This window comes from Homo sapiens, chromosome 9 (genome assembly GCF_000001405.40).
Source record: "Homo sapiens chromosome 9, GRCh38.p14 Primary Assembly".
NCBI lineage: Eukaryota > Metazoa > Chordata > Mammalia > Primates > Hominidae > Homo > Homo sapiens.
This window is the reverse complement of record NC_000009.12, coordinates 108062639-108087236: the sequence shown is the minus strand read 5'-3', so window position 1 is coordinate 108087236 and position 24598 is coordinate 108062639. Positions and strand designations below refer to the sequence as shown.

General features: G+C 44.5%; 2 long non-coding RNA genes across 4 annotated transcripts in view; one reads left to right on the top strand and one right to left on the bottom strand.

Moving 5' to 3' along the window:
* LOC105376214 (uncharacterized) overlaps positions 1-24598 on the top strand; it is a 401533-nt gene that overhangs the window by 357541 nt on the left and 19394 nt on the right. The gene's annotated exons all lie outside the window — the stretch shown is intronic.
* On the bottom strand, positions 3761-7308 carry LOC105376213 (uncharacterized). Its single transcript, XR_930237.3, has 3 exons — positions 6536-7308; positions 6173-6279; positions 3761-4074 (listed from the first exon to the last, which is right to left on the bottom strand). It is a non-coding gene; the product is annotated as an uncharacterized LOC105376213 (long non-coding RNA).

Genomic DNA, 24598 nt, shown 5'->3' with positions numbered 1-24598 from the left:
CTCTGTAAAGTCTCTTACCAATATTGTGGACAACAGAATCTGAGTTATTACCTTCTCCCAGAAATCTCTCCTGCTGTTTCTTTGTTTAAAATGGAAATAGCTGTCTTTCTCTTTACCATCAAAGTCCTTTCTTCCCCAAACTTCAAATAAAGTACTTTCATGATTTCAAAGCTTTTCATATTCTAAATGACCTAATTGTTTTATCAAAAGAGAAAAGAATGGAGCTACCCAAACCCTTCCACGTGCAGATATTTGGGGAACACCTGGTACCTGGGAAGTATTAAGCCAGGTCCTGGTCACAGGAGGAAATGATTTGGATAATCATGTCTGGTGCTGGACACCATCATTCTGCTATTCTGCATGGACCCAGGAACCAGCCCGTGTCTCAGATCAAAGGAACAGTCTTGGCCTCAGGGGAGCTAGTAGGGAATCACTTGAAGGGAGGCAGCCAGACAGCGACAGTGAGACAGTGAATGGGCAGGAAAGCAGGTTTCCTGAGAAGGACTGGCTACGTGATTTGTGGGTCCCAGTGCAAAATAAAAATGCAGGGCCTTATTAAAATTATAAAGAGTTTTAAAGTGGAGACAGCAGAGTATTAAGCCAAGCAATGAGCCCTGGACAGCCCTGCAAGAGCAACAGCAAACCTCTGGGCTATGTGGTTGGTTCCATTTGTTCTGCTCAGGGAACCTCAAGGTATGTAGGGCATGGGAGGCAAAAGAAGGACCCTCCTCATCCTCTCCCTGAGGTCCTATGGAAAGATAACAGGACCAGGTCTCCTGACCTCCTATTTAGTGCATTTCTTACCCATTCATATTATTTTCTCATACAATGGCAAGAAGGCACTTACACAGATTAGAATAAATGCACATAACTGCTTTCCAAATTTTTCCAAAAGGAGGTGGTATAAAAAATGGAGGGGAGAACAGCTTTCACCGTCCAATTCCAAAGTCCATTACCCTCTAGCCACCCACCAGGATGTCACCTAAAGTCTTCAAGCCACACTTGCGTCATCTCTGTGGTGGGAGTGATAGGAGATTGTCTTTATGTCACAAGCAGCATTAGATAAAAATAATACATATTAGCTTAAAAATAGTGCAAATATTTCATTAGTGTTTTGTTGAGATAAGAAGATGAAAGAGAAAATAGGAGAAGCGAGATGAAGAAAGGAAAGAGGAAAGATAGAACCAGGCATCGCCTTTCATGTCATGTTTTTGCCTGCAATGGCCTGTTTCCTTTCTCCCTGTGAAAACTTATCCTGCACATGGATGAAGCAGCTCTGTTCTCAAACTACTTGTTCCCTTCCCTTGGGCTTCTCTAGCCATGGGCCTCCATTTGGGAGCCGTGATCATCTGCTTTCTTTTCTGCCTCTAGATCTGGTGCTCCTGGTAGACCTGCTCTCTGACTTACTCGCCTCTTGTGTCCCCAGGCTCTAGCCAGTGCTTGACCAGAGAAGGTGCTCTGTTCCTACTTACTGAAGAAGGGAAGAAAGAGAGAAAGGAGAAAAAAAGCAATGATGACGTTACTGGAAAGGGGTCCCGATCCAGACCCCAAGAAAGGGTTCTTGGATCTCCCGCAAGGAAGAATTTGGAGTCCATAAAGTGAAAGCAAGTTTATTAGGAAAGTAAAGAAATCAAAGAATGGCTATCCCATAGACAGAGCAGCCCCCAGCGCTGCTGGTTGGCTATTTTTATGGTTATTTCTTGATAATATGTTAACAAGAGGTATGATTATTCATGAGTTTTCCAGGAAAGGAGTGGGCAATTCCTGCAACTGAGGATTCCTCCCCTTTTTAGACCATATAGGGTAGCTTCCTGATGTTGCTAAGGCATTTGTAAACTGTCATGGTGCTGGTTGGAGTGTCTTTTAGCACGCTAATGCATTATAACTAGTGCATAATGAGCAGTGAGACGACCAGAGGTCACTTTCGTCGCCATCTTGGTTTGGTGGGCTTTGGCTGGCTTCTTTACTGCATCCTTTTATCAGCAAGGTCTTTGTGACCTATATCTTGTGCCGACCTCCTATCTATCTTATCCTGTGACTTAGAATGCCTAACCTCCTGGGAATGCAACCCAGTAGGTCTCAGCTTTGTATTTCCCAGCCCCTATTCAAGATGGAGTTGTTCTGGTTCAAATGCCTCTGACAATTACAAATAAGAAAGACCTGTTAGATGCCAATTCTATTGGGCAATTGTTTTATTGTGGAGTTGCTCCTTATAATGGGGCCAGTTTTTCAATGCCTTTGAATCACTCAGTACTATCAAGCATCCTCCTTCTCTCTCCGTAAGACCCAACTTGTAGCCCATCTGACCATAATGTCTTTTTCTGGAAAGACGCAAAAGAAGAAATGTGACAGGAAGGGGGGCAAAGTTGGGGAAGGAGATGCTACCGTCTTCTGCCCACCTCCTGCCTTACCACCCACCAAATCCCAACCATGGGCCAAGGCAGGGTAAGAGAATCAGAGAATCCCTGTTCTGAGCAAGTCCAGGCAAGGCACTAGGCAGAAGAGGAGGAAGAGGAGGGAGAGGAGTAGAGAGGAAGTGCTGGAGGGGCAGGGGTGGAGGGTCTGAAGGTGTTTGGGAAATTGTTAACCTGTGGTCGAGGGGGCAGAGTGGAGGCTGACACCTGAGGTCAGGATTCCAGAGCTTCACAGCAAGTTCCCCTTGACGCTTAGGCAGGGTGGTCAAGGCTGGAACTGCAGGTTTAGAACACCCACTCCAGTCCTTGCAGTGGATGGTCCCACAGCACTTTTATTATAGGAATATATAAGCTAAGATTCTCCTTAGGCACCTAAAATCACGGAGCCCACCCAGCATGGAGTGGGTTTCCTAGATTCATGACCAGGTGGCTCCTAAGTCAACCTTCATCTCAAGTGTACCCTTTCCACCAACTCCCCCAGATTTGCACCCCCTCCTGAAGTCCTCATCTCAGTTCATGGACCATATCTAAGTCATCCCAGAGAGAAATGCAGACTTTTCCTCCATTCCTACCTCACTCCTCTCCCTGCAACCTCCGATGGATAATTATATGAGTTCTACTCATCCATTCCCCTGGCACTACTCCAATCAGGCCACCATCATCTTGAACTTGAAGTGTTGCAACAGTTTCTGTTCCTTCTGCCTTCCCTTGGCCTCCTGTTCAGTCTTCTAGGCTACAGCCAGTGACTGATCTACAATACACTCCCGATCATGTTCCTTCCCAATCAAGCACCATCATATCACCTTTGGCATTTACAGAATCAACTCCTTGGCCTGACTTTTAAGGCACTGTGTGATCTGTCCCCATGGTGTCTGCCCTCATCCCTTCCCACTCTGTCCATATACCCCAGGCATCAACCTCATGCCAAATATCTGCTTTTTTACACCTTTATGCCTTTACTCAGGCCGTTTCCTCTGCCAGGAATAGTAGTCCTGCTCCATGTCTGCCTGATAAATTCCCACTGGTCTCTTTTGACAAGCTTGGCTAAATTGTCCCATCTTCACTAAACTCCAAGCCTCCAGTGGAATTCCAAGTCCTCAGCCCACAGGACTGGTTTAGAGCACTGAACACCTTGCATGCTAATTAGTCATCTGTGTCTGTCAAGCCCCCTCCCTGGAGGCTGAAAGCTCCTCAAAAGCAGAGTCTACCTCATTCACCTTAGAATAGAAATCAGTGGATGGTTGTTGATCTGAACTGCTTTGCAGCAGGCCTGGCACCTGGTACTCACCATGACTGGAGACCAATAGCCTAATTAAAACACACCAGGGACACTCTCTTTTGTTGCATCAAATCCGCCCTGGCAGATCCTCTGAGGAAAGAGAAACTATTAGCATGAGCAAGTACATTACCGTAAGTGGCACATCAGATTCTTAATTAGGAGATAAACATCTGTAAAGCATGCATTTCCTCGGTTACAGTGTATACTGAGAGCCCGCAGACAAGTCTCAGAGAATGGGTTTCAGGTCACACTGCCAGAGACAGGTGGCTGTTTGTCAATGCAGTTATATAATGCCTGCATGCTTGGAGAAATGGGCAGGGGCTCAGGCGTCGCCCTCTTGCTGAAGCCTCAGAGTTGCAAGTTCCAGAAAGGCAGAACAACCTGGTCAAGAAGAGATCAAGATGGCCAATTTAGTAAAAGGCTGTGGGGCATGCTGATATGTATGGGCATTTGAGGAAAATATTTTCAGCTGCTACTTAGAAGATGCCAGCAAAGCCCTACTTTGTCAGTCTCTTTTCTCACTGGGTTCCCATTTATCCACTCTCCAGTCATAAAACCCACTCAGCCTTAGGTAAAATTTTACAAAGTTCTCTCTTCTGCATGGTCTCGTTATAGGTGATGTGGGGAGTGAGCTGAGGATCAAAGGAAGTAATGTGGCCAGGGTTATCCAGCAAGTGAGCGGCAAGTGGCAAAGCAAAATCCACAGTTAATTATATTAATCCAGTATCCTTTTCTCCTGTGAAATCTGCCTATAGTTAATTGAATAGTGAACCCCACCTCCCTAAAATTCATGTCCACTGGAAACTCAGGATGTGAGCTTATAAGGATATTTACAGATAGGATTAAGGTAATCTCAAAATAGGATCATCCTGGATTTGAGTGGGCCTTAAATCCAATGACTACTGTCCTTATGAGTCTACAAGCCATGGATTGTCAAGGACTTCCATCAGGGACCAGCAACTAGGGGAGAGTCTGGAAATGAATTCCTCCTCAGAGCCTCCGGAAGGAACCAAACCTTGACAACACCTTGACTTTGGACTTCTGGCCTCTAGAACTGGGAGCAAATACATTTCTGTTGCTTTAAGATACCAGGCTGGTGGTCATTCATTACAGCAGCCACTGGACACTAGTGCATCATCTGAGTTACCCTTTGCTGCCAATTGCAAAAGGAGGGTTGAAAACCCCTAACACCAGCAAGCCATTAAAAATTACTTTTCATTTCATTTCATCCTTGCATGGAAATAAAATCACATCAATGCCTTCTTCAGATAATTGTCAAGGAAGACAGAGTTTGACAGAGAAGATGGGGAAGGAAACAAAAGTATGGTGGCCCACTATGTGTCATCAATAAGAGCTATATTATCTTACTTAATCGCTAATCAAATTAGTACTGTCAGTAGTGTTTTGACCCTATTTTATAAATGGAGTAAACAAGACTTTAGAGAGACCAATCTAAGATTGAAACCCATGTTGACTGATGATGGCCAATTCTATGTCCTGCAGAAATGAGTTGATGCTATTTGCTTCCTCTTCAAGGTTCTCCAGATCAAGGGTCCACAATCATGCCCTACACACAGGAGCCTGGAGCCTGAATTCTCAGATAGCCTCAGCCCAGCTCACCCTGTGCCTCACTCTTCTCCCTCATTCTCCTACAGCATCTGGTTGGGTATTGTGTAAATCTCTTCTCCCCAGCATGAATGCAATAGAGACCCCAGACTCTGCCCAAGGGACTAAGGCCAGGAGCCTTGAATCCTTCAGTCCGGAGACACGGTTTGACATAGGACTTCATACATACTTAGCACTAATCCCATACAAACGGCTATGCTGGGCTCCCTGCGAAGAGAGGGATTTGCCTTACTGAATCCCTCTGAGCCTCAGATTCCTCTTATGTAAAATATAGATAAAGTAGTATGCTTTAATTTGGGCTGAGTTCAAATCCTCATTCTGCCACTTACCACTAAAGTCACTTTCCGTCCCCCTAAGTCTTCCATGTTCTGGGGTTTGAGCAGCCATGAGAGGTTACACACTAAAAATTCACATGCACAAGCTATGCAGAGGTTAGTGGTTATTCTTCAACAAAGCTAATCATACTTGATTAAGCAGCAAATGCCAAAGAGCTATGCAGAGTTTAGCAGTTGTTGTTCAACAAATCTAACAATATGTGATTTGGACTACTTCTTCAGCTGCCAAAATATTTTTGATAGCCCAGCATAGCACCTAAGAATGTGGCTCTGGAGGCAGACAGCCTGGATTGAATCCCAGCTCTGCTATTTTTTAGCAGTGTGACCTCTGACAAGTAACCTAATCTCTCTATTCCTTAATTTCCTCATCTGGAAAGCTGGAAAAAACTAGTACCTTCCTCATGGGGCTATTGTGAAGATTAAATGAACTAGTACATGTAAGGTGCTTAAACAGGACTTGGTACTAGGGAACAGTGAATGAGTATTGTCTTCTTAACATTTACAATTTTCAGACATACCTTTTTGTATCTAATGATTTTGTAGTCATAGGAAATGACCCAGACTAGGCTTTGCTGTTCTTCTGCTGGTGTCGTCTAACATTTGGACAGGAACTAAGAACGTACTTCTGTAAAATATAGGTTGGATACAACAACCCAAAAAGATTTTCTTCATTAGAACTGAAAATGGAGGGATGGCTTCTTATAGTGAAGTCTCTACCTTGAGCTGAAACTCTACCACATAGGGTTGTGTGCTTTGGGGCCATCGCTTCTCTTTTGCGAGCTTCAACTGATTAGTCTGTAAAATGCGCACATAGGTGCATGTGTTTGTGGATGGTGGGAAGGGTGGGGAGATATAGTGATTGGATCAAGCGATGATCTTACTTTTATCACTGTGAGGTCATATCTGGCATGCGGCAGACGCTGTAGATTCCCAAAGTCCTCAGGGCATCTCCATCAAGTAACCTTGAATGTGTGGCCAGGATAATGACAGAAACTGTCCAGTTCAAGCCAACATCAAGACAAGGACCAGGCATCAGACTTTGGAGGCAGGCCAGGCAGGAAGAGGACAGATCTGCTCAGGTCTTTGGGGCCAGATGAGCTGCCAAATGATACACAGGCAGGGCATCTCAAGGTCCAGTGTGGAGGCCAGCACAAAAACCAGCAAGTGGGACACTACCCAAGCCATGCTCTGGTTGGGAACAGAGAAGCATGCTGGGCCAAACCCGGGAAGGTCACTGGTGTCAGGAACTCAGGATAGCCTATGGGTGCTGCTTGTCCTGCTAACATGGCCATGCAAAACCCAAGGTGCTTTTCTGTAAGACTAACCTCTCTCAAACTTCTAAACAACCACATTTTAAAGACTCAAACCCCAGGAATGCTAATCTACCCAAACAACATCGTTTTTGTTCACTGGTGTTCTGAGAATGGCATGAAGAAATGTCACAACCACATGGCCAACTTGCAAGGTTGGGGTTGAGGTATAAGTCACCACCCATCACACTTGCTGTGCAACCTTGTATGCAATATTCCATCTCTCGGCTTCTGTTTCCTTGTCTGTCAAATGAAAAGGGTATTAAAGAACAGTTGATCTCGAAATATTTTCCTGCTCTGGAATTCCGCGATTTCAGTTTCTTAGGTAAAATCTCAGTTTTTGTGCCAAGAGTCCCAGCCCACATAAAATAGAACATTCCCTATACTTTTCTTAATAATCTTAAAGGGAAAGTGAGCTTTTAATAGGTGTCCCTAGCTGTATAAAATGTATATTCACCCGGCTCCTTTCTTCATAGAGAAACTTTGGAAAATGCTTACTAATTTACCTAAAGAACACAAGTTTTGGAATTAAAGGATTTGAGCTTGGAAAGTTTCCTACTGTGCTCCAGATTATGTCAATCTGTTCTTAGCCTTTTAACACTCCGGTGCACTCTACCCAGGAAGCACTCAAAAAGCCAGCATGAACATCAGTTTCTTGAGTATTTCCCAGCATTATGTTCCAGTACTCTCTTGATTTGGTTCTTCCCAAGATTTTCAATTTCTGACATCTCAAGTCCTTCTTGTTTCAAGGACCCATTTATACAGACATCCTGGGGTGGTGGCCTTAACTTTTGACATTTGACTCAAACCCCATAGGCTGCCCAGATTCCAGCAACACCAGCTACTCTGCAGGAGAGGTGCCCATCCCAAGGAACCCTCCTGCCTCTCTCCTTTCCTTCCCCCAACTCTCTTCTTCAAGAAAGGACTTTATTAATAACCTCATCTCTCAACTGGGCATGACACTATAATACATTACCTAGCAAATGTAGAAAAGGGGGCATTATTAATAGAAAACACCCACCTGGACTTTGCTGATTTGAATACCGGTTCAGAACACTGGAGAAGGCAGCCAACGGGGCTGGGTTCTACTCTTGGCTCATTTTGTGCCTGGAAGAAAGCCGTCCCTCCACAAATGCAGTTCTCACCTTTGGAGAAGGCAAATTTCAGAATCTGCCAGCTCTTTGCCTCAGAGGGGTCATGATGCAGTTCCTCATAATACAATGAGGAATTCAAAACATACAGTGTGGCATAAAATGTCAATTCAGCCCAGGCCCTGAGTGCTTTGCATGCTGGAGAGGGAAGAGGGAAGTTGTGGGAGGGGGTGTAATTTGTGTGGAGGAATGGCAGATGTGGTTGATCCACTTTGGATTTATCTGCCCATCTGGACTTTCAAAAGAAAAGAAAGTGGTGTGGTAACAATTTCATAGCAAAGGCCACAGGCTGGTTAATCTTCTGGGATTTTTTTGAGTTAACTTCTGAAAACGTTGATTTGGCCTATTGGTTTCATATTAATTGGCTCTGACTAGCTGGAGCACTGCCAGAGAAATCTGGCACGTTGCATGTTGCAGTTGTCAATCGATCTTCTTTGGCGCTCTCTGGGGTGCAGCATGGCTGTGTGGCTTCTGCCGCGGCACGTGGGCCCTTTCCTAGGAAGCCCTTTGGGCCAGACTCAGGCATTCTAGAATAGGAGGGAAGTTGATGACGAGGGAAAAAATTAACTCTCAATGTGCAAAGTTAGCTATTCTGGAAACTGAGCCCATTTCATTTGGGACTTGGGCCAAGCTTCTGAGCTTCAAAGAGAAATTCAGAAAGAGAGGGGGTGTGGGGGAAGGGAGAGAGAGAAGAAGAGAGGCTCAGAGAAACAAGAGTCAGAGAAAGAACAGAGAGGGCGACAAAAAGAAAACAGAAAGATGGAGAAATGAGAAACCGAGAGATGCAGAGACAGAGTGAGAGATACAAACTTACAGAGACTGAAAGAGACAAGCACAGAGACACATAAAGAGAGTCAGACACAAACAGAAGCAGAGAAAGACAGTGGGAAAACAAAGACGCAGAGACAAAAAAAGACAAATAAAACAAAGATAGAGACACAGAGATGAGAGGCTCACAGAGACAGAGAGAGATAAAGAAAGAGACAGAGATGCATATAAAGAGAGACCAAGACAGAGGTGGATGGGTAAGAGAGAGACCCTTCTACCAAGAGAGGAAACAGAAATGTCAGGAGCCCACATGAGTGCAGAGATGAAGAGAGAGAGAATGAGAGCAAGGGCCCAGGCCCAGAGAAACCCAGGGGGGCCCTAAGAACAGCCTCATACAGGGGCTGCCCACCCCGTGTGGCTCACCCTGGCCAGGTCTTTAGGGAATCACTTGGGGCCTTTGCCTGAAACCCCCTGACCCCAGGAATCAGGGCGGCAGTGTCCCCAGTGCAGTTGAGATCCCAGGGCCTGCAGAACCGGTTAGTGCGTTTTGTGATGGAACAATGACTGAATCATGAACGACTGAAAACAAGAGAACAAAGTGGGGAGGAAAAAACCCACAGGAATAGTTTGGAATCCCGATTTCCTACGTGCAGTTGCTAAGCAGTTCCCTGCGGTGTGCGTCTCTCTCTGGGTCTGGAGAAGCACAAGGACTATGAGAAAAGCAGGTGTCAGGGATGTCTGCTGTGTGGTCTCCAACTTTTCTGGCGTGAAGGGGCTGTTCTTGGGAGGCCAGGAAAAACGCAACTATCCTGAGAGACAAAATAAAAAGGGACTGACTTCTGAGTTGTAGTTGCCCAATTCCCTCAAGGCCACTTATTAAACCACAGCGGGGAGGGGGGTGGGAAAGGTAGCCCTTTAATATCTCAGGAACATACCGTCCCCCAGATCAGGAAACTGGGTCACTTGGGCTTCTCCCTTCTTGTTGCTCTGTCGGTCATTGAAGCCCCTCCTGCCTCCACACCATGCCTGTAGCCCTGGTTATCCCAGGCCAGGACAATGTCACCCAACAGTCTTTGTGCCTCTAGCCTGGCCTCTTCCTCAGACTCAAATCCAACCATATCACCTGAGGGCAGGGGCTGCATTCCACCCATCTCTTTGAGCCAGTACCTAGCAGGGTACAGAGTGAAGGCTCAGTTTCGGTTTTATCACACTGAAAACAGCAGTGTCGCAAAATCACAGATTTCCAGCATCTAGTCATCAGGCCTACCTCCCATATCATAGATGAGTGAACTCAGAAACCAACTGGGAGAGACACTCAAGCAAGCTCCTGCTTTGTGCCCGTTCATTATTGGTAAAGGTTTTGGTCATTTATAACCCAGAGTTTTAAACTATTTTAGGTTTCATTCTCTACTTTCCACCCCAACCTCTTTGGTTATTGTTGCTCAATGGGGATGTGCCATTGCCCAGCTCAGACGCATCAGACATGCCAATGGGCTGTTGACTAGAGCCTCCAGCCTCAGTGTGTGAGGTTTTCATTTATTTGGGACTCTGTGAATTAGGGTCGTTTTGGTTGTAAGCAACAGATGAACTGGATAACTTGAGAAAAATAAACCAAAAAAGAACATTTGGTCAGGCACGGTGGCTCACGCCTGTAATCACAGCACTTTGGGAGGCCAAGGTGGGTGGATCACCTGAGGTCAGGAGCTTGAGATCCAGCCTGGCCAATGTGATGAAACCCCGTCTCTACTGAAAATACAGAAATTAGCCAGGCATGGTGCTGGGCACCTGTAATCCCAGCTACTCAGGAGGCTGAGGCAGGAGAATTGCTTAAGCCCGGGAGGTGGATGTTGCAGTGAGCCGAAATCATGCCATTGCACATCAGCCTGGATCACCAGAGCGAAACTTTGTCTCCAAAGAAAAGAAAAGAAAATGTATTGGAAGATAAGTTAGTTCACAGAAAAGGCAATTGAGAGATAAAAGAGGATGTGGGGCAGCCCTGAAGATTTAAGTCGCAGAAATCAGGGAACAAGCTTCTCCCATCTCAGCCCTGGGATGCGCTAGCCCTCGTTGCCTTCCACCTTGCGGCACTGTGCTCAGAATTTCTGCGAAAGAGTCTGAGGGGTTGAGACTGAGTCAAGTGTCTCCCATTGGCCGAAAGAGGAGAGAACCTCTTGATCAAAAAATCCCACCAAGACTGACTCACAGTCCCACAATGATAGTGTGAAATGGAGGTGTAGAATCTCCCTAAAGAATAATTTTTGTGACGTTATGACAAGAGGAGGGAAGGGGTGCCAGGGGAGGCAACAACACCCACTCTGGGAATTCCATGAATCTGACCAGGTCCCCCAGGAGGGCGATAGGAAGCTTTGTTCTGTGGGTCCTGCAGCAATTAGGATGAACGTAGGCCTCCTTTTCAAGTTGTCTGGGGGACATGCCGAGGAGGTGGGGCATCAGAGGGCCCTAGTTTTTGGGGACAGAAAAAGAGGAGATGGCCCCGGGGCTTGGTTTGTGGGAAAATATTTAGGGAGGAACAAAGGAATGGGTGTTGGTGATCACCTGAGCCTGGGCAGCAATTAGGGAGGGTGGGGACGGATCTGTCTGCAGAGTATCTCTGCAAGAGCCCAGAATCAATGCTGTCTCCCTAGTTCCAAGGCAGAAGAACAAAGAAGAATGCATGCTAGGGGCCTGTTTTTTTCTTTGCTTTGACTGTCTGAAAACTCCAATTCTGTACAGGCCAACGTGCTTCCCTGCAACAAACTCATATGAGACTATATGAATGTATTTTTAAAAGATAACAGTCCCAGCCATTCAAAATGATCTTACCCTTTGGCAACAGTTGTAAGATTCATGTACCTGAAGTGGATCAAGGCCACAGGATTGGAACCTTTAATATGTCAGTGAACACCCACTGCCCACCAGGACCTTGTCCCCAACTCTCTCCTAATGGAATATACCATGAACTCCATGACCATTCCATTGTGTTTCCCATTTACAATATTCCAAAGGCTTTAGTTTAAGAAAAGCAAACACTTTCTGCATAGAAACAGATACCACTCCCAATTATAAGCATCAAATTTGAAACTTGGCAGATCTTCACTCTGAACACCTGGGCCACTCTGGCTGCTGCCGGTGGCTCAAGGAATGTGCATCTATTTCAGTTCAGCCCACATAATAATTAAAAGGACAATTTGCTTCTACATAAAGAATCACAGAATGTAGCCTCAAACCACATAAAAGCCGTTTGTGCACTCGCTGCAGTTTGGTTTTTCCCGGCCGGCCACAGTCTGGTCTGGGAATGGTGGGTGCTTTGTCTAGTGGTGCTTCATTGACTTTTAGGGGCAGCAAGGTGGTGGGGAGGATCCCCTGGCCCTCCTCCTTGCCTGGGCCCATCACTCCCATGCAGACACTTTGAACTGCAGTTTTCCCATCTGCAAATTGTAAATAAGTGTACTAACTCTGTCTTTCTCAGGGTTGTGGTGCAGATCAAAAATAAAAAAAATACACGTGACATCACTTCAAACAATATAAGGGTTCTGTACAAATAAACGGTCTATTTATTCATACCACTTTGACCTCTGTGAATGTAACCTTAGCATTTCTCTAGAAGTACACACCAAGAGCAAATAGAAGGGTAGAATTCAAAAGCACCTTGGGAAGAGGGGAAAAGAGAATATAATCGAGAAAGCATGAGCAAAATTTGGGGTTCTACACTTTAATGCAACTTTAAGCCAATGGTTTGTTGGTAAATATTTAACAACCAGGTCTCTGGAGGAAAAGGAAAAAAAAAGATCTTAGTTGTAGTACTTACCAATTTCCCTTGTGTAAATACTGCCAACCATAACCAATTTTGAGATATCAATGTGACATCAATTGGCTACCAAAACTAAAAATGTAACAATTCTCTCTCTTTCTCTCTTGCTCACTCCAATAGGAGCTGCCTCTGGCATGCCCCTATCCTAAGTTGTAACCAAAGTTGTCCTGCAACACAGAAGCCTTTGGATTTCAGAGCCCACTGACTGAGGAAAGCAGAAATGGAAACCCCTAAAGGGTACCCCCCTCCTTCATGCTGCATGCAGAAGGAAACTTGCAGGGGTGAGACCCTTTTCCACTGTGATGTTGACTCAGGGCCTTGTCCAGTGAAGGACTGTTTGATCTCCCCTGACCAGTCTGATGAGAAAAGCCCTCCCAGGCTGGACCAGGAAAGGGGAGAGTCCTTCCCGTTTGCACATTTCATATGCACATTTCTTCTGCCCATCTTTATCTCTCACTGCCTGCCCTGTACCGCACCGTGGTTTCAAGGATCCGTTCATTACATTGTTTTCTCGCAAGTAGGGAAATGAAAGTAATGCAGTAACAGTGCTCTGGTGGAGTGAAACACAGAAGATTCCAGAATGGTTTCACCCAGGCTGGGGAGCTCAGAGGAGACACCCAAGTTTTTGCATTAAAAAAGCATGCCTTCTGCTCATAAATGGCATCTGTAGAGTGCTGTGATGTTTGCAGACGTATTCACACCTGTCTGCCTGTGTAATCCACACAGCAACCCCGGAAGCAGATTCGGCAAGGACTCTCATGCTCCCTTCCTGCCATCCTCTTTTGCATGGACAAAGAAGAAAGGAAACAACTAGAACCCAAAAAGAGATAACAAGAAGGAGTTGCATTGTGGATGCTTTACCAATCGATACCAAAATTTTGAGATTTTGATCCCCAAGGAGGTGTTGTATTGGTTATTGCTTCTTTTTAAAGCGAAGAAAAAAACAATTGTTCCTAGTCAATTTCTCATTGTCATTTGTCAGTTCAGGAGTCCCTGGGGATGTCCTTAACTGTGGAGTAGAAGCACAATAGCCAAGAATTGCCTCACAATTCCTAGAGGCAATAAAAGATTTTGAATCTGGCTGGGGTGGTGGCTCACTCCTGTAATCCCAGAACTGTGGGAGGCTGAAGCAGGCAGATCACCTGAGGTCAGAAGTTCGAGACCAGCCTGGCCAAATGGTGAAACCTCGTCTCTACTAAAAAAACACAAAAATTAGCCAGGTGTGGTGGTGCATGCCTGTAGTCCCAGCTGATCAGGAGGCTGAGGCAGGAGAATTGCTTGAATCGAGGAGGTGGAGGTTGCAGTGAGCCGAGATCACACCACGGCACTCCAGCCTGGATGAGTGGCTTTTGGAGCTAAAAATAGGTTGCAAGATGTGTGATTTTGTGTGTGTGTGTGTGTGTGTGTGTGTGTGTTTAACCTCCCTCAGTATTTGTGAAATGGGAATACCACAGCCTCCTTCAGAGAGCATCATGACGTTAATGACGTGAACAGGTGGATGGCTGATGGTGCCCGTGTAGTTAGTGGCGGTCCTCGCCGCACAATCAGCCCTCCTTTTGTACCCAGTTCTTGTGCACCAGATGGGGTCATTGGTGACAAATGAGTCACATGATCAGTCATCTGTCTTCTTTATCAGTAACAACCTGGCAAAGATCTCCTTGAGGAATCATCTCAGGGGCAGCTGGGGTGTTGTCAATTTTCATACCCCTTGGACTTGGCTTTCTAAGTGGGCTGTGACATCAGGACACAGGAAAGTTGAGAGGCTCTCAGATCTAAGTCATGCCTCTGAAGGATCTGTTGATTGTCAGCAGACGGTTAATAAGGCAGGAGCTCAGAGATCTCCAAAAGAATGAATTTCTCAGCTGGGTGTGGTGGCTCATGCCTGTAATCCCAGCACTTTGGGAGGCCGAGGCGGGCGGATCACGAGGTTAGGAGATCTAGACCATACTGGCTAACACAGCGAAACCCCGTCTCTACTAAAAATACAAAATATTAGCCGGGCATGGTGGTGGGCACCTGTAGTCCCAGCTACTCGGGAGGCTGAGGCAGGAGAATGGCATGAACCCTGGAGGCGGAGCTTGCAGTGAGCCGAGATCGAGCCACTGCACTCCAGCCTGGGCAACAGAGCGAGACTCTGTCTCAAAAAAAAAAAAAAAAAAAAGAATTTATCTCTCTCTCTTTCAACTTATGCAGTACCAGAGATCCAGCCCAAATCCTCTGATAGTTAAAGTTGGGAAAGTGAAGTACTTTCCAGGGCCCCAGGAATCCCTACTCACTTGTCTTACTGAAAAAGAGTCTACGGTTTCAAGCCCGAAGAGCTGTGGCTTGGGTAAGGAGCGTTGGTTCATTTCACTCCAAATGGAGCTACAGCCTAGGAGAGCCACAGGGCTCTTGTAAATGGGGGAATGATTTAATCCCCAAAACCTAGCCAGGGGAGAAATTACTGTAGAGGAGAAATTCTTTCTGATATCCAAATAAAAAGATACAGTGCCCATTCATTTCCTGGAAATTTTTGTTGACAAATACCCTATCTAGAACAGCCTGCACAATGGCCATGCTTTGGGGAGCACAGGAGTAGACAGTCCTGCTTCCTTTACCTTTTCAGCTACATCAATCCAGGTTGTGGCATTTTTTGTTATTAAGAGTAATAATGAGACATGTCTATTGAGCTAGTTTCAACTGAATCATTTAGGAGTTACAGCCTATTGACATAACTGTGTATAAACAAAACCCAGGATTCATTCCAAAAACATGTAAAGTACATTTGTGTGATTTTGTGCTTAGTTTGGTGAGAAGGAACCTAGTTTTGAAGTCTGACTCTGAACTTCAGTTTTCGTTGGTGAAATGAAGATCTAATGATAATCTCTTTCCTGTTATCTCAGTAGCATTCTTGGAGAAGATCACAGAAAGTTAAGACTATGAAAGCATCTATAAACTGTAAGGTGTTGTATACACAATGGGAAAATTAGCCTGGGAGTTTCCCAGTACCATGAGGCGTTCCTGAATAGTGGGAGGGAAAATGCTTTTGTTTTTCTTTCTCCAATGGGATGTGAGTACTATCCTGAAGACAGCGATGCCGTGAAGGACAAACTCCTAAATGCAACTCAAGAGGTTTTTACATATAGCTCAAGTGGAAGAAAATCTGTGGCTTGATGTCCATAGGAGAGTGGGGTAGTGACAACAACTGAACAATTGTTCTTCAGAACTCATGCTAGTAGCAGAGGAATTAAAATAAAGATCCCTGGGAATCTCTTGGAAAGATGGTATCAGCTTAGAATTTCTGGCAAACTCCAGCTAGCATTGCTTGGTAAAGACTGGAACTCACAGGCAGAAGCATCAGCAGGCTGCAGGAATGCAAAGTGGTCTGTGCCAGGGCAGAGCTGAACATGCTGCAGAGTTATACTGTAGAATGGGGGTCCGCAACTCCCAGGCCACCGACTGGCACTGGTCCGTGTCCTATTAGGAACTGGGCCACATAGCAGGTGAGCGGCAGGCAAGCAAGTGAAGCTTCATCTGTATTAATAGCCACTCCCCATCACTCACATTACCACCTGAGCTCCATCTTCTGTGAGATCAGAAGTGCACTAGATTCTCATAGGAGCGCAAGTCCTATCATGAACTGTTCCTTTGAGGGATCTAGGTTGCATGCTCCTTATGAGAATCTGAGAATCTAATGCCTGATGATCTGTCACTGCCTCCCATCAACTCCACATGGGACCATCTAGTTGCAGGAAAACAAGCTCAGGGTCCCCACTGATTCTGCATTATGGTGAATTGTATAACTATTTTATTATATATTACAATGTCATAATAATAGGAATAAAGTACATAATAAATGTAATGTGCTTGAATCATCCCAAAACCATCCTTCTCCCTGGTCCACAGAAAAATTGTCTTCCACTAAACCAGTCCCTGGTGCCAAAAAGGTTGGGGACCATTGCTCTGGAAGAGGGCCACCCCATTGCTCCCCCCTTGGTACAGGGCAAGAGGGATTGGAATTTTGTAAGCCTGGGGACAAGGAGTCCAGGCTGGGGCATAAGCTGCCCAGAAGAGGTGCTGGCCAGTGCTGGGAACAGCATTTGGAGACCTGGAGATAAGCAGACTATGTGTGCAGGTCTACCAGCTGCAGGGAGGCACTGAGGTTATCAGAGGATACCCCTATACTTGTTTCCCTATAGAAGTTCTCCCTGGATTTATGGAGGAAGAATGTGAGAAAAAAAGACAGAAATTCCAACTTACTGAATGCTTACTAGGTGTCAGGCTGCATCAGTTGCTTCCCATATTTGATGTCCTTTAATTTTTCCAAAAGCCCTATGAGAAAAGTGCTAAATCACAGTTGAAAGAGGAAGGTCTGAAGCTCAGATTGAATGACTTCTTCAATTTCTTGGAGGAGAGAGAGGAATCCAACCCGTGCTTCTCACTCCAAAGCCATGGCTTTTCTTCTCCATGATGGTGAAAGAGCTCTCACAAGCTTAGAGAAGTGGTTCCCAATTACAGAAGAACTCTGGAATCACCTGGGGAGTGGAGAATTTTAAAAATTCTCAGAAAAAAAAATCACAGTGGAGTGGTTATTTTAAAAATAACCATACATAAACCCCACTCCTAACGATTCTGTTTTCATAGCTCTAGGATGGATCTTGGGCACTGGTGTATCTTAGAATCTCCAGACTGTTCTAAGATGAAACCTTAGAATACTTTTTATTATATTTTGTTTTGTTTCAAGTAGTGTTCAGAGGAGCTCCTAGTTCAACAGGAGGTAGCATAAAATCTAGTTCTAAGGAGAATTCATTCATTCATTCATTCATTCATTAATTCATTCAATAAGGGAGACCTGTAAGAAAACAAGACTGATGATTCCATATGAACTTTAAAGTAGTTTTTTCCAATTCTTTGAAGAACGTCGTTGGTAGCTTGATGGGGATGGCAGTGAATCTATAAATTACCTTGGGCAGTATGGCCATTTTCACGATATTGATTCTTCCTACCCAGGAGCATGGAATGTTCTTCCATTTGTTTGTATCCTCTTTTATTTCATTGAGCAGTGGTTTGTAGTTCTCCTTGAAGAGGTCCTTCACGTCCTTTGTAAGTTGGATTCCTAGGTATTTTATTCTCTTTGAAGCAATTGTGAATGGGAGTTCACTCATGATTTGGCTCTCTGTCTGTTATTGGTGTATAAGAATGCTTGTGATTTTTGCACATTGATTTTGCATCCTGAGACTTTGCTGAAGTTGCTCACCAGCTTAAGGAGATTTTGGGCTGAGACAATGGGGTTTTCTAGATATACAATCATGTCATCTGCAAACAGGGACAATTTGACTTCCTGTTTTCCTGATTGAATGCCCTTTATTTCCTTCTCCTGCCTGATTGCCCTGGCCAGAACTTCCAACACTATGTTGAATAGGAGTGGTGAGAGAGGGCATCCCTGTCTTGTGCCAGTTTTCAAAGGGAATGGTTCCAGGTTTTGTCCATTCAGTATGATATTGGCTGTGGGTTTGTCATAGATAGCTCTTATTATTTTGAGATAAGAGCCCACATTGCCAAGTCAATCCTAAGCCAAAAGAACAAAGCTGGAGGTATCACGCTACCTGACTTCAAACTATACTACAAGGCTACAGTAACCAAAACAGCATGGTACTGGTACCAAAACAGAGATATAGACTAATGGAACAGAACAGAGCCCTCAGAAATAATGCCAGATATCTACAACTATCTGATCTTTGACAAACCTGACAAAAACAAGCAATGGGGAAAGGATTCCCTATTTAATAAATGGTGCTGGGAAAACTGGCTAGCCATATGTAGAAAGCTGAAACTGGATCCCTTCCTTACACCTTATACAAGAATTAATTCAAGACGGATTAAAGACTTATATGTTAGACCTAAAACCATAAAAACCCGAGAAGAAAACCTAGGCAATACCATTCAGGACATAGGCATGGGCAAGGACTTCATGTCTAAAACACCAAAAGCAATGGCAACAAAAGCCAAAATTGACAAGTGGGATCTAATTAAACTAAAGAGCTTCTGCACAGCAAAAGAAACTACCATCAGAGTGAACAGGCAACCTACAGAATGGGAGAAAATTTTTGCAACCTACTCATCTGACAAACGGCTAATATCCAGAATCTACAATGAACTCAAATAAATTTACAATAAGAAAACAAACAACCCCATCAACAAGTGGGCAAAGGATATGAACAGACACTTCTCAAAAGAAGACATTTATGCAGCCAAAAGACACATGAAAAAATGCTCATCATCACTGGCCATCAGAGAAATGCAAATCAAAACCACAATGAGATACCAGCTCACACCAGTTAGAATGGCAATCATTAAAAAGTCAGGAAACAACAGGTGCTGGAGAGGATGTGGAGAAATAGGAACACTTTTACACTGTTGGTGGGACTGTAAACTAGTTCAACCATTGTGGAAGTCAGTGTGGCGATTCCTCAGGGATCTAGAACTAGAAATACCATTTGACTCAGCCATCCCATTACTGGGTATATACCCAAAGGATTACAAATCATGCTGCTATAAAGACACATGCACATGTATGTTTATTGCGGCACTATTCACAATAGCAAAGACTTGGAACCCACCCAAATGTCCAACAATGATAGACTGGATTAAGAAAATGTGGCACATATAGACCATGGAATACTATGCAGCCATAAAAAAGGATGAATTCATGTCCTTTGTAGGGACATGGATGAAGCTGGAAACCATCATTCTCAGCAAACTATCGCAAGGAGAAAAAATCAAACACAGCATGTTCTCACTCATAGGTGGGAATTGAACAATGAGAACACATGGACACAGGAAGGGGAACATCACACACTGGGGTCTGTTGTGGGGTGGGGGGAGTGGGGAGGGATAGCATTAGGAGATATACCTAATGCTAAATGACGAGTTAATGGGTGCAGCACAGCAACATGGCACATGTATATACAACAAACCTGCACATTGTGCACATGTACCCTAAAACTTAAAGTATAATAATAATAAAATTAAAAAAAAAGAAAGAAAACAAGACTGATGAGTGAATAGAGGAATTCTGAGCTGTGGGAACCAGAATGCCCCTGTGGTATGGCAGGAATAGCCAGTGGGATCCCCTGCAAGGTCAACTGATCCTGCTTCTTTTAAAGTGACCTGACAATGTGGCAGCTAGTATCTGAAAACATTTTGGTCTTTAAGAATCACACACACACACACACACACACACAACTGACTGCCAGTGTCACACGCACGCGCGCGCACACACACACACACACACACTTCAACTGACCGCTAGTGACATAGAGTGTGGACCAAGGAAATGATTCTGCTGCTTTCTTGTTCTAAGGGAGGAAGAACAAAGGTGTTGAGAGTTGTGAAATAATAATACATTTCACCGGAAAGGTCTGCAGCAGATTTGTCCATCCTCGAGAAATATCTCTTTGGCTTTCTCTGTTTCATTTTCCTCAACTTTCTTTTTTTCCCTCTTAGCCTTTTCTAGTTGCCTATCTGCTCACACACGCTGCTCTCCCTCCATGATAAACAAGACCAGCACAGAGAGGGAGCCAGTAATACAGGAATGATGTTTTATTTCCCTGAAATTCATTCACCAGGCTGATCTCCCTGAACCTCAGTTCTGATTGTCATTCTCCTGTATAAACTCCCTCAAGGCCTCCACACTGCCCTTTGCAGGGGTGAGATTAGAGAGGAGACAGAGCCAGACTGCAGGAATGAAATCCTAGCATGGTTGCACTGTACATGTTAAGCTTGAGCAACTTACTTAGCCTTCTCTGTGACTTGGTTTCCCCATCTGTAAGTGGAGATAATAACAGTCACTACTGGCCAGGCACGGTGGCTCATGCCTGTAATCCCAGCACTTTGGAAGTCCAGGGCAGCTGGCTCACTTGAGGTCAGGAGTTCGAGACCAGTCTGGCCAATGTGGTAAAACCCCGTCTCTACTAAAAATACAAAATTAGCTGGGCGTGGTGGCACACGCCTGTAGTCCCAGCTACTCGGGAGGCTGAGGCAGGAGAATCACTTGAACCTGGGAGGCAGAGGTTGCAGTGAGCTGAGATTGCACCACTGCACGCCAGCCTGAGCAACAAAGTGAGACTCTGTCAAAAAAAAAAAAAAAAAAAAAAGGAAAAAAAAAGTGACTACCTTATAGGATGGCTTTGAATTTTAGAATTAACACAGGTAAAATGCTCATATGTGTATCTGACACACACTAATTGCCCACTGAATGTTGTTGCTGCCATTGTTATAACTGCTATTATTAAGGATCTCATACTCTCCAGCCCATCTCTTGTTTTTTTCACCCACATACAATTTACATTCCGGCAGCATGGAATTCCTTGCAGTTATTGGAAGCCACCATTCTCTCTTATGGTATTTGCTCATGCTTCCCTTTTCAAAACATTCCCCCATTTTGTTAGTTTTCTATTGTTGTTGTAACAAATGACCACAAACTTTGTGGCTTACACCAAGGCAAATTTATCATAAGGCAAATTTGTTATCTCACAGTTCTGGAGATCAGAAATCCCACACGGGTCTCACTGGCTAAGGTCAAGGTATCAGAAGGGCAGCATTTCTTTCTGGAGTCTCCAAGGGGTGAATCTGTTTCCTTGTCTTTTCCAGCTCCTAGAGGCTGCCCACATTTCTTGGCTCATGGCCCCTCCCTCTATCATCAAAGGCAGCAACATCAGTAGGTTGAGTCCCCAGATCACATCCCTCTGACCATTCTTCAGTAGTCACATCTCCCTTTGACCACAGCCAGGAAAGAAAGGTTCTCTGTTTCTAAGGACTCAGGATTAGATTGGACTCAACTGGAAAATCCAGGTCAATCTCCTAACCTGAGGTCCTTAACCTGAATCACATCTGTAAAGTCTCTTCTTTCTACATAAAGTAACAGATTCATGGCTTCCAGCGATTAAAACATGGACATATTCTGGGGTAGGGGACATTATTCTGCCTACTATACCTGTTGATTTCTTGGAACCTTTCAAGACTAATCTTAATATTTATATCTGTTTGCCTTCATCTTCATTATACTGCTATGGCAATGGCAAACAAGTCCCCATTTAGCAATTGAAAAAAAGTGAAACTCAGAAAGCTCAAGGGCCTTGTCCAAAGTTGTTCATACAGCTATTTATTGGCAAAGGGGAAAATTTAGGCCTGCTGTGTCATGAAATTTTGGAAGCGAAGTCTTAACTAATGAGACACAGATATACAAGGTGTTAAATATGTAGGATGGACAATGTTGATGTCAAGGAGTTAATATGCCCCTTTCCACTACATTCAGACAAAGCTACCCCATGTGACCGCATTTGGGTCGTATCTGTAATTGTTACCGGTGTGTTTTATATTTTATCAATTATCTTTGTAATAAAAAGCATGCAGTTATGCAGTGACTTCTGTGTCTCTAAATCAGAATGGGGTTGGACTCTAGGGGTTCATTTTCTGTTTTGTTTTTTTTTTTGAAATTCATAATCATTCTCCCGAAGAATGTGGCACTTTCTAAACTTTCTAAATGTGTAGCTTCCTCAACTTTCCCATAAAAATCTATTGAAGTCTTTTAATCACACTGGCACTTTCAGGGACACACATTCACTGGCACTGAGTAGCTAATGAAAATATGCTTGCTGACGTGGAGTGCAGTGTGTGGCATGGAGAAAGCAGCAGAGGTAGTGCAAGTTTACTTCTTGACTCAATTCAAGTGTCAGCTCCTCTAGAACTATCTCCTCACAATCTCCACCTCCTAGAATAGCTTAGGGGCCTCATGGACTGACTGCTTCAGCATTTGGGGCTTGTTTTTCTCATGAGCCTGGGGTCCTTGGGCTCTGAATCCCCAGTGCCAAGCACAGAGCCTGACCCATCTAAGGCTCTGAATTACTAAAAGAGTGAATGACCAATACTGGGCACTAGTAATGTGTAAATCCTCCCGTATCAGTTAAGGTGCTTTAGTGAGAAGCTATAGAAACCAACTTTGGCCAACCTAGATTGGAATGAAATGTGAGAGTGTGGCTATCTATATTCTATAACTGGTCAGACCTGCAAGAGGACAGGCCAAGGTAGCCAGACAAATAGCCTCTTCAAGACACTATCTTTTGGGTGCGGAAAAAAACCTATAACCATTTTATTCAGTTTTTGTGTGGCTCTGCTAAAGATTCAAATTCCAGGGAGAACGAGGGATTGGCTTCATGGATTTTAGGAGAGGTGGAGGCATCCTGATGGATTTGCCAAAACTGCATGCAACTGGGGAAAAGTAGTTCCCAAATAAAAAGTGGGGAGTGGGAGGGGCTGGGCAGGAAAAGAAGAAAAAAAACAATACCAGGAGATACCAGGATTCCACACCTGTTCATTTTCATGCGAAGGTATATCCCACTGTTCTACTTACATAGACTTTGCACACAGAGAGTCACCTGCAAGGTCATGCTTTGGTTTTTCATACAGGGCTCCTACCCAAGGCAGGACTTCCCGAGTAACAGATTGCCTTCCTTTCCCAGTTGGTCTAGGCTTTTTATTTTTCCTCCAAAGTCCTCTGAAATGTTGAAATAAAATTATGGGTATTTATTTTATTGAGCTGAAGTCTGCCTGATATGGTTTGGCTCTGTGTCCCCACCCAAATCTCATCTTGAATTGTAATCCCCATGCATCAAGGGAGAGATCTGGTGGGAGATGACTGGATCACGGGGCAGTTTCCCCCAGGTTGTTCCGATAATAGTGAGTGAGTTCTCAAGAGATCTGATGGTTTAAAAGTGTTTGCCCGTTCTTCCTTCACTCTCTCTCTCTCTCCTGCTGTCATGTGAAGAAGGTCCTTGCTTCCCTTTTGCCTTCCAACATGATTGTAAGTTTCCTGAGGCCTCCCCAGCCATGAGAAACTGTGAGTCAATTAAACCTTTTTTATTCATAAATTATCCAGTCTCAGCTAGTTATTTATAGCAGCGTGAAGGCAGACTAATACATTGCCTCCCAGGAGCTTCTGCCCATTTCTGCCCTTCTCTCCCCCATGCCCCATAGGGTGCCCAGAACAAATTAAATCCTTCTCCCATAGGGCAATTCTGTGAGCATTGACTCTATGTTTTTAAAACTAGTTAACTTCATACCTTCACACCACATAGCCATTATAGGTACAATGCCTCTCTCTGAGCAGGATTCACATTATTGCTCATCTGCACCCCTCTGCTTTTGGCCTTTTGGTGTTTTCTTTTTTCTTTTTCTTTTTTTTTCGAGATGGAGTCTCGCTCTGTCACCCAGGCTGGAATGTGATGGTGGGATCTCCTCTCACTGCAACCTCCACCTCCCGGGTTCAAGCGATTCTCCTGCCTCAGTCTCCTGAGTAGCGGGGATTACAGGCATGCGCCACCACACCCAGCTAATTTTGTATTTTTAGTAGAGATGGGCTTTCACCATGTTGGTCAGGCTGGTCTCGAACTCCTGACCTCAGGTGATCTGCCCACTTTGGCCTCCCGGAGTGTTGGGATTACAGGCGTGAGCCACAGCGCCCGGCTCTTTTGGTGTTTTCTAAGGTTTGTACTTGCATTTCTCGCTGGCTCTTCCCACCTTTGACTGCTTCACGTCCTCTAGACTACCCAGCCCCAGCTTCCAGGACATACCTCTCACTGAACACTCTCACCCTCTTTTGCAGTGAAGGATATGGCCTCTGCCAATAGTCAGCCTTTGTTCTTATCTGGCTCCACAGCTTACCCTTCATATGTCCAGACAGTGGTTATCTAAACTCTCTAAAACTAGGTTGCTTGATCTCTAATATGACAAAATACATACTTTACCAGGTTACTCAAGGGTTCGATGAGATGAAACATTTGAACATCACGAAGTTTTGAACCTAGGTGCTTAACAGATGGTTAGTTGTTCCAGTTATCCTTTTAAATATTAATTTTATCATTTACA